The 10,633-nt window shown below is 38.0% G+C and overlaps 1 protein-coding gene across 8 annotated transcripts in view, besides 1 other annotated feature; it reads left to right on the top strand.

Annotated features, from left to right (window-relative positions):
- Positions 7,163–8,140: an enhancer, noted in NCBI's record as "H3K4me1 hESC enhancer chr12:22093793-22094770 (GRCh37/hg19 assembly coordinates)". NCBI's record gives its function as "activates a minimal SCP1, AML or CMV promoter by ChIP-STARR-seq in naive H9 embryonic stem cells {active_cell/tissue: H9 hESC(naive)}" and the evidence as "EXISTENCE:reporter gene assay evidence [ECO:0000049][PMID:30033119]".
- Positions 7,573–10,633, top strand: part of ABCC9 (ATP binding cassette subfamily C member 9) — a 144,038-nt gene continuing 140,977 nt past the window's right edge. For 6 of the 8 annotated variants that reach the window (NM_001377274.1, XM_005253290.5, XM_005253289.5 and 3 more), the window contains exons 1-2: positions 7,573–7,799; positions 8,174–8,289. The gene's annotated coding sequence lies outside the window, so the exon portion shown is untranslated. Of the gene's footprint in view, positions 7,856–8,173; positions 8,290–10,633 lie in introns of all 8 variants that reach the window. The other 2 variants (XM_011520545.4, XM_005253288.5) reach the window with 2 other exon arrangements.

Below are 10,633 nucleotides of genomic sequence, written 5' to 3'. Positions count from 1 at the left end.
CGATGCTTTGTATTTCTGTCACATCAGTCATAATGTCGTCTTTTTCATTTTTGAGTCTTCTCTCTTTTTTCTTAGTATAGCTAAGGATTTTAAATTTTGTTTATCTTTGCAAGAAATCAGCTCTTCATTTTATTGGTCTTTTCTTCTGTTTCTCTTGTCTCTATTTTATGTATTTCTTCTCTGAGCATTGTTATTTTCTCTTTTCTGCTAATTGTGGGCTTAGCTTGTTCTTTTTCTAGTTTCTTGAGGTGTAACATTAGGGCTTTTTTATTTGAGATCTTTCATTTTCCTTAATGTAGGTATTTATTGTTACCAAATTCCCCCTGTACTGCTTTTGCTGCATCCCATAAGTTTTGAGAGGCTGTGTTTCCATTTTCACTGGTCTCAAGATTTAAAACAAAATTCTCCTTTGATTTCTTCTTTGATACATTAATTGTTCAGGAGTATGTTCTTTAGTTTCCACATATTTGTGACTTTTTCAAGATTCCTCCTGTTATTCATTTCTAATTTTACACCACTGTGGCTGGAAAAGATAGTTGGTATGATTTCAGTCTTCTTAAACTTATTAAGACATGTTTTGTGACCTAACATATAATCCATCCTAGAGAATATTCTGTGTGCACGTGAGAAGAATTTGTATTCTATTATTGTTGGATGGAGTGCTCTGTACATGTCTGTTAGATCCATTTGGCCTAAGATGTCAATTCCAGTGTTTCCTTATTGATTTTCTGTCTGAATTATCTATCTATTGCTGAAAGTGGGGTGTTAAAATTCCTTAAAGTTGTTACATTGCTGATTATTTCTTTTTTAGTTGGGTTAATATGTGCTTAATATACTTAGATGCTCTAATGTTGGATACATATATATTTACAGTTGTTATATGACCCCCTTATTGTAACATAATTATATTTGTTCTCTTGTTGCATTTTTGAGGTAAAGTCTATTTTGTGTGATAAAAGTATAGCTACCCATCCCTGCCCTATTTTAGTTTTCCTTTGCATGGAATATATTTTTCATCCCTTCATTTTCAGCCTATATGTTTCCTGAAAACTGAAGTGAGTATTTCACAGGCAGCAAATAGTTGGGCCCTTTAAAACATCTATTTAGCCATTTAACGAAGTATTTATTGAAGAATTTAATCCATTTACATGTAAACTAATGATTGCTATATAAAAACTTACTACTGTCAACTCATTGTTTTCTAACTGTTTTATAGTTTTTCTTTCTTGATGTCTTTCTTTGAGATTTGATAGTTTTCTGTAGTGGTATGCTTTGTTTTTTTTCTCTTTATCTTTTGTGAGTCTACTACAGGTTTTTGCTTGGTAGTTACCATGAGGCATACATAAAACATCTTGTAGTTATAATAGTCTATTCTAAGCTGACAACAACCTAATTGCAATTGCTTAGAAAAACCTCTACCCTTTTACTCTCATGACAATTTGTGTTTTGATGTTATATTTTTATATTGTATATTCATTAGCAAATTTTTTACATTTAGTTATTTTAAAATATTTTTGTCTTTTAACCATTATACTAGAGTTAAATGATTTACACACCACCATTGGAGTATTAGAGTATTCTAAATTTGACTATATGCTTTCCTTTACTAGTGAGTTTTATATGTTCATATATTTTCATGTTACTAATTAGTCTCTTTTCATTTCAGCTTGAAGAATTTCCTCATAGCTTAGCTCCCACTTATGAGTGAGAACAAGTGATGTTTGGTTTTTCATTCCTGAGCTACTTCACTTAGAATGACTAGATAATTTCAAATGATCTGTCTTACAGTTCACAGATTTTTGGTCTACTTGATTAAGGCTGCTATTGATGCTCTCTATTGCATTTTTCATGTTATTCATTGTATTCTTTAGCTCCAGAAGTTCTTTTTTATTATTTATCTCCATTGAGCTGCTAGTTTGTATGTTTTCCTTATTTCAGAGTTACCTATGTTCTCTTTGAACTCACTGAGCTTCCTTAAGACATTTATTTTAAATTCTTTGCCCAGCAATTTACAGATCTCTACTTCTTTTAGATCAGTTCCTGGAAAATTGTGTTCCTCTGATGGTATGTTTCCTTGACTTCGCATGTATCTTATAGTTTTGCATTGGTATCTGAGCAATTGATGGAGCAGTTATTCCTTCTAGACTTTATAGACTAGCTTCACGGGAAAAGACATTCACCTGCAGGTTGGTGTGAGGGCACTGACTGGATGGAGTGTGGAAATTATAGCTTTGGGGAAGGCCCAGTATAATCTCCACATGGCTTCATCAGCTGAGGTTAACATTGGCAAAGATTGCAGGATTCTTTAATGGCCAAGGCAATGCATGTCTGCAGTGGTGATGAAAGCAGTTGGGATCTTTGGTGGCTGCTAGGAACCTCTTGATCTCTTTTTCTCCCACAGGAGATGTCATGGTTGAGGGGATCCCTCTTGGTGCCAAGCCCAGCACATAGGCACCCTCACAGTGGCAGTGACAATGGTGTCTGATGCACAAGTGGGCATCTGCGGAGCAGCCACAGAGATAGGGTCTGGAGTGCAGGCACTGTGGACAGACAGCAGCTCCAGGGTCCAGGGCTCTGGCTAGCCCACATTGACAGGAGTTCCAATGTTTGAGATGCAGGAGCCTGCCAAGTGACCATATAGCCAGGGTCCAGAGTGTGAACACATGCAGATAGACAGTGGCTCTGTGTCCAGGGCACTGGCTATACTTTGACAGCTGTGGCTCTAGTGCCTGAGACACAAGCGTATGTGCAACAGCCATAGAGCTAGGTATGGAGTGTGGGCATGTGCAGAGTGTTCGCAGAACTGGGGTCCGAGGTGCATGTGTGTGCAGAGAAATTGTGGCTCTGTGTTCCAGAGCAGTCATGGGGTTGGGGGTAGGGGTGGCAGCCCTGGTCTCTGGTCAACACAAAAGCACATCCTTTTAGACAGTACGCAGCAATGTTTCCCTCTCCTGGAGATCTATGGTGGGATGGCTGTTGGTTACCTCAGTGGCAAAAGCTACTGATGTCCTCTGTAGAGTAGGCCAATGGGGTCAGTGCCAACAAACACTATGGGGTTTTCTGCTGTGGGGGTTGTTGAGGTCCTCAGTGGCTAAGACTACCAAGGTCCTTTAGAGGATAGGCCACTGTGGATCATGATGGGACCCAACATATGGCTGATACACATAACTCATCCCTGTTTGTTTAATCTTTGTTTATGGCCATCTGCAGACATTGCTAAGCCAATCTCCCAAGTGACTTTTTTTTTTCCACTGTGTTCTTGCTTACTGGATTTTTGAGCCCTCCTAGGTCTATTTTTGTTTGTGGATAGCTGTCTAATTGTTGTGTTTTGTGGAAGTATAAAGGCTGGCATCTCCTACTTTGTCGTCTTGCTAATGTCACCCCTAATATGCCTATTTTAAAGTCAACTAGTTAGTAACCCTAATTACATCTACAAAATTCCTTTTGTCTTGTAACATAATGTAATCACGGGAGTAACACCAGGAGTAAATGTCATGGGAGCCACCTTAGAGTTGTGCCTACCATGAAAAAATATATAAATGACCAGTAACACCATGAAAATATGTGTTCAAAATCATTCGTTATAAGGTAGATGCAAATTAAAACCACAATCAAGAACCAGTCCACATGCAATATAAGGGCTAAAATTTAGAAAAAGAACAAGATAATACTAAATATTGGCAAGATTGTGAAGCAAGTGCCATACTTTTCTGGAGGGAATGTAAAATGTTTCAATGACTTTGAAGAACATTTTGGTAATTTCTGTAAAGTTAAATGTATAGTTACCATATGACTCAGCAAATCTACTGCTTAATATTTACCCAAGAGGAAAAAAAAAACAAAACACCTATGTTTACAAAACGGTTCACCGAAACTTCATTCATCACTGCCCAAAACTGGAAATAACCCAAACGTATACAGATAGGTGAACGAATAAACAAACTGCATATTCATACAGTGAAATTCTACTCAGCAATAAAAGGAATAAACTATTCATATATACAACAACATGGATGAATCTCAAAAATATTATGCTTACCTAAAGAAGCCAGACACAAGGGAGTATGTACTGTATGACTCCTTTTATATGACATTTGTGAACTAATCTCCAGTGATAGACTTCAGGTCACTTGTTACCCTAAGTGAGAGACAGTTAGACTGACTAGTTAAAGGCACAAGATAACTTCCTTGGGAGATAGAAATACTTTGTATCTTTTTGGGATCATGGTTATTTCAAAAGACTTTGGATTTTACATGTATCATGGATACTTTTTATTTCATGAAAATTATACTTACAATGTTGATTTAAAAATATATTGTATATATTTCTGAAAGAAACAATGGTTTATCTTCTTGTATTATTTAACACTTCTGGAATGTATTTAATGAAGATTAGAGATAAAATGCAAACAAGCTGTAAGTATTTTAAAATGGAAGGGTACCACTATTTGCAGATGAAATCGTATTTCTGGAAAGTCAAGGTAACAGGGTGAAATAGCTCTGGGATTACTGAGAAGTCTTAATAAAGTGTCTGGATATAAGATAAATATACTTTTTTTGGACAAAATAAATAGTACATCCTTAATAGCAGTACAAAATATTAAAACAAAAATATGAAATTTGTATGATCAATCTTTACAAAATATGCACAGACCTGTATAAATTTAATACTGGGATAAAAGGAAGACAAATAAATGGGAAACTACATTTCTGGGTGAAGAGACAAAGCACTAAAAATATGTTCTTTATAAATTACTTCCTAGTTTTAATGAAATTCCAATAAAATCCCCAAAAGAGAGGAGCTTTGAAAATTTTGAAAAGAGTGAAAAGGGGACTGGCACTGTCAGGGTTACAATATAATTTAATCTCTGATAATCAAATCAGTCTAATCATAGCAATATAATAAAAAATTGAAACAGATCAATTGAACAGAATAGGTAGCCCGGAAACAGATCTTATTATGAACTAATTATGTGTATATGACAAAAGTGGTATTACACCACAATGCAGAAGAAAAAGATTATTCAGTAAATGGTGTTGGTGTAACAAATAAAGTATAAATGCAGATTTTCATCCCATAGTGTATGCCAAAATAAATTCCAAAATCAAATTTTTACTAAAGCCTTTAAACAAATATAAATGAAGGTAAATATTTATTAACTAAAGTGTTCTAATACATTGCAAAGGCAACAAGCAGCAAATTTGCCTACGTAAAATTTCCCTTAGGAGAAAGTTCAATGAAGTGCAATAGACCCTAGAGATCTGACTCATCACTAGCTTCTATGTCTAGCACATAGTGTGTGCTCTAATAAATCTTTACAGAACACATGAAAACTTTTTTCTTACTTTTTTGAAAGGCAGCAGCACTATCATTTTTTAACAATATGACAAATTGGGAAAAATGTGTCATATATGAAGCAGGATTAGTATCCTCTTATTAAACATTTGATTAGTATACTCTTATGAAACATTTATACAAATGGTAAACTTCATTAAGACCCATGAGGTACACAAGTATGTGAACAAACTGCCACAAAAGAGGGGATACAAAGATTAATCAATAGTGGGGAAATGTTGAATGTGAATAACAGAATTGAATATTATCTGTCAAGTTAAAATATTTTTTTAAAATAAAAAATAGCAATATCCAATGCTGGTTTGAGTATAAGTGTAATAGCTCATCTCATACAATTTGGGGGACTTAATACGAACTTCATAGAAGGGTGATTTTGCATTCTATGTTGACAGCCTTAAAAATATCTACCACTTTTGATCCCGTAATTATTTTTCACATAATTTATCTTAAAACATTACTTGTTAGAAAGAAAAAAAGTTTATGAAAAAAGGTCATCATATGATCACAGATATTAGTAAAATTGGGCAAATACATGTCAAACAACGGGAAAATGAATCTTATGGTATAGCCTTTCAATGGAATAGTATATAGCCATTTAAATTATTTTAAAAATTATTCTATATTTATTTAAATTATTTATCTTTATTGTCCCATTAAACAGAGGAGGAAGCTGATACACAGAGGGTTTATGTGACTTGTTCAGTCTCTGAACTAACTAGCAGGATGTGATATCGAGCAGGCTGCCTTCCTAGTCCACACTCTTAATCAATGCACCATACCGCCTGTGTTTGTTAAAACATAAAAAAAAATGTTTTCAGTAGTTTTATGGGTGTGTGTGCACAGGTGCATCTACGGGGGGCTCCTTGATCTCCTCTGTACACTTTCACATCTTCCAAAGTTTCTACAATAAGCATGATTTTTAAACATTGTAAATGACCTTAATGAATTGTAATATTCTTTTATAATCCTCAAGTAAACTTCATTTTGTGTAGTCACACTCAAGAGTTTTCATCTTGGGATTATTGGCACCCCCTATTTCCAGTTCTCTCTCCATAGATGCCCTGGAGAGCCTCTGGCCTCGCGTCCAGCTTGCTCACCCGGCCACCCTGGGCTGCATCCATAGTACCAGGATCCTCACTGTTGAAACGCTCTCTTATTTCCCTGCGCCGCTGCAGACAGCTCCAGGGTAAAGTTGTCAAGCGTTCAAAGGCCACAGGAACGGAGTCTTCGGACCCTCCCAGGTTTCGGCCCCATATGGCCTCGCAGATTCCTAGCGGCCGCGGGTTCAAGTCCCAGCCGCTGACGCAGGTCAGGCACTCACCCGGAAGCGCAGCGACCTTCCCAAGAGTGGGGCGCCGGCGGAGAAATCCCCTGGGACTGGCAGGGCTGGAGTCGGCCTGCATCGCACAGGCCACGAGGCCACCGGTGTTTAGGGTTCAGATCTGGGGACCAGCGCCAGCAGACCGCAGTCCTGCAGCGGCGCCCCTTGAGGACGGCATGCGGAGCCTCAGGGGCAGAAGTCCGCCCGGCTGACCATCCTTTATTAAAATACGACAGTTCCTGAAAACAATGCTTATCTCAAGCTGACTCAAAACTGGCTCTTGAGAAAATCCGGTGTTAATTAAAGAGGGTTGTCGGGGACAAAATTCACGGCTTGTGTTTCGCGGGGGAGTGGTTGTGGGGTGATCTTAATATAAACACGTTATCTCGAGAGTTAATTATGTCTCTGGTTGGAAACAGGAGAAGAGGGTGACTGTTTACGCAGTCCATGGGAATCAGCGTCTCACTTTAGGGGACGGTGGGCAAGGGTCGCCCTTCGATAGCGCGGCGGCTGGTCCACCAGAGAAACCAAGTTTTCTAGGTCGCCGGGGAAAAGCGGAAAATTAGACTTGAGCCAGCCTTGCTCCTGTGAGACATTCGTGCACTCATAACCCAGCAGTGGGTGCCTCTACCTAGAATGAGCCCTTCATTTCCCGGATCCGTTCAGGGGGAAACAGCGAAATCCCCAAATCCGCTTCCTTACGTGGCTAATAAAGGGGTGCTTACAGAGCATGGAAAAACAAAACAAAGAAACAAGAATACCTTGAGTGTTTTGACGTTTGAAAACCCGACTCCGGAGAATCATGGAATCATATTCCAAGTTTCAGTGTCTAATGAAGTTTAAGGGGACGCCTATTACTTGGGTTTGTAAAATCGCGGCGTCGCGCCCGCCCCAAGTCAAAGCTGAGCAGAGCAGGGATGGGGAAGGTCTCCGGCCCCAGGCGCGGCGCGCGGGGCTTCTGCCCAGTTTCCTGCTTCTCAGCCGCGGTGTCTGCCCCGGCCCAGAGCAGTCTGTGCAATTTAGAAACTCGATAGGAGGCAGCAGCTGGTCTCCCACCACCCTAAAAATAATCCGTTCCGGCGCACTGCGTGCTTCGCCTAGGGGAGGAAAACTGTCATCGGAGTAAGTGAATCCGTGTCTTTTACATGAATGCCATTTAAACATTTTTAGGAATAACTGTAAGTTGTCGATTTTGAGCTAACATTTCTGCTATCCAAAAACGCCCTCGCACTCTCTCGCACTTCTCGGCACTTAGCTTTCGCGATCGCTATTTCTAGAATTAAGGGACGAGGCCCGGCTCGAGAAGTGAAGGGGTGGGGATCAGGTTTCCAGTTTTACTTCAAAACTGCCGTCTCCTACTCAAATCAACTGGAAACAGTGAAAGGAGTTATTATTATTAGGAGTTATTATTACCGCCTTTCTTGTAGACAATTCTTGTATGTTCAAGAAGTAGTTTTCTATCTGCTTAATTTTTGTTACTCTTTACTTTTTTTTAGGAGTTCTGCGTCCGGGTTTGAAATTTACATCTTAAGACAGTGTAGGAAGTCGGTGTTTTGAAGGTAGCTCAAGTGCACCGGCAGGGGTTTGAAGCAGCGTGAAGCTATTGCCCAAGGTATTTATTTTTTGCTTTATTTGTTCAGTTTGGGATTTTTTTTAAAATCCCATTGCAGTATCTAAGGAATACCTACTGAGTAATTTCAACATTTCTTTTGGTGTGGGATGGTACTTCACAGCCACTGAAGAGTAAATGGGTGGATTCAGATCAGGCACTAAGTCAGAAGTCAGTGGTCATTTTTGCCAGTGATTTTCCCACTTGGATCTGTCATAGTTATAGCCATGGTAGCTAGCTAACTAGCTATACATCTTCTAGTTTTTATTTCATGAACTAGGGACTGAATAACTTCAAAGAAGTGATTACAGCATTTGTTTTTGCAAGTGACATCCATCCTGAAAATGCTCTAGATGATGATAAAGCCCTAAGTTCTTTAAAATGTCCTGCTTCTCTTTCATAACAGAATTTGGTTAATCTCTAAACGATTAAAGAATGAATCCTTTTATATGTAAGAATGAAAACTTTTATTTAAATTTAGCATGTTTTCTCCAGGTGTTTCCAGCATTTTAAACTCTCTGCAATTGCTATTCGATCAGAACTAACGCTTTCTGCTAAGTGAACAGGAAGGAAGACAAGTTTTCACTTGCTTTACTTGTAGTCTATTTCCAAAGGACAGGGCTGGCCACAATAAATGGTGTACCTTATATGCCTCAGCACTTAAATGTGTTTTTAGAATTAAATCAGATAACTACTGCTCGTGTCTTGCAGAGGAACCAACAGACTGGATAGGTCAGGTATTATATTCACCAACTAAATCCAAAATGTATATGTTCTAGATGTGTGGAATTTCATGTAATGCATTTCGAGGAATAAAAACACTGAGGGTGCGATTCTTGCCATGAAATCGTAAGTTAGATAATTAGGAGTATTTCTATTTTATGTTTTCTGCTCCATAGACATACGTTAGAAGCAAAATTTCACTTTGATCTTTGTTTTTAAAGTTTATTCAGTCAAGTTCTCCAACTCTATCACCTCTCATAAACAACTGAGCATATTTCGATGGCTTATGCTTGTGGAAAGGGAAACATTATATCTCCCCATCTGCTCTCCCTTCTCTCTCTCTCCTTGATGCTTGGGCCTCCCTCAGTGCTTAGCTGAATCTAAACAGCTCCAGAAGGGGTGGAGCTGAAGGATGTCAGGTGACAGAGTTTAGCCAGCAAGAACAGCGATTTATACCCTTCCCCAAACATTCCCAATTGAACCTGGTGTCTGGGAGGGAAACATTAAATGACAATTGGAAATTTAAGGATTAGGAACGTGGATTGAATAAAATGCCTTTGATAAACACAATAATTATCAATATATCAGCAATAAGTTTACTGCCTCCCTCTTTTTGTCCATGTTGGGTTGTAATGGAGGCTGGCTGTTAGAGTGCCACATGGACTCTGGATGTTGGATAAGGAGACTACGGGTTAAAGGGAAAGGATAAATGAGGAGTCAAAAGAAAAGGTGAAAGGAGACATGCGGTAAGGTAATGCACAGGTTCAGAGCCGGCCGGAAATGTGAAGTTAGAGTTTATGGCAGACAGAAAAATCGTTCTAAAGCGTTTACTGTACCAACTTGAAGTTTACACTTTTGTTTGATTGCATCATTTCTTATTTTCCTATCTTTTAGATCATATACCCCTACAATATACCCACAGCTACTGAGACTACTGTAATCTGATTCATACAGTCTAAATAAAACCACAGAAACTGTTTCTGACGTGCACCATTGGATTCCTAGTAACTAGCACGTAGTTAGCATCAATAAGTGTTTTTACAGTTCATTAGTTAATGGCATAGAATTCCAGATATCTGGTGTATGTCTGAAAATGTTCTTAAATTTTTCAGGTGATTGTACTTCTCTGAGATTTTTTTTCCAGTTACACACAACATTTATCCAAAGGCGATTTAATTGGTAGATTTCAGGATTGATTAAACACCAGGCAAGCAATGCTTATAGCTAATGAAGGGTGTAATTTGCAAAGCAGCAGGTTATATTTTAGCATCTACCTCAATGATACTAGTTTATAAATGTGGCCAACTGGAATATTATAATTTTGGATAAGATTATAAAAGTTGCTAAAGTAAAAATCATTTTCTAGTTTGTGCGAGGAAAGTTTATATATGTCTTTCAATTAAGAGTGGGCTTTAAGTTTTCTTTTTATCATTTCTACTAAATAAAGGAAGTAGTCTAAAAAATTCATTACTAGCTATTAGTTTTTAGTTTTGTTTTTGTCTGTCTTTGCCAGAAATACATCTAACATACACCTATAAATTAATAACTTCCATTTTGCTGTTTTTTAAAAACTTCAAGTCCCTTTTATTCTTTTATCCAGATTAATACCTTAATAGCTTGTTAG

Source organism: Homo sapiens, chromosome 12 (genome assembly GCF_000001405.40).
Source record: "Homo sapiens chromosome 12, GRCh38.p14 Primary Assembly".
Lineage (NCBI taxonomy): Eukaryota > Metazoa > Chordata > Mammalia > Primates > Hominidae > Homo > Homo sapiens.
This window is presented reverse-complemented; position numbering and strand designations above follow the sequence as displayed.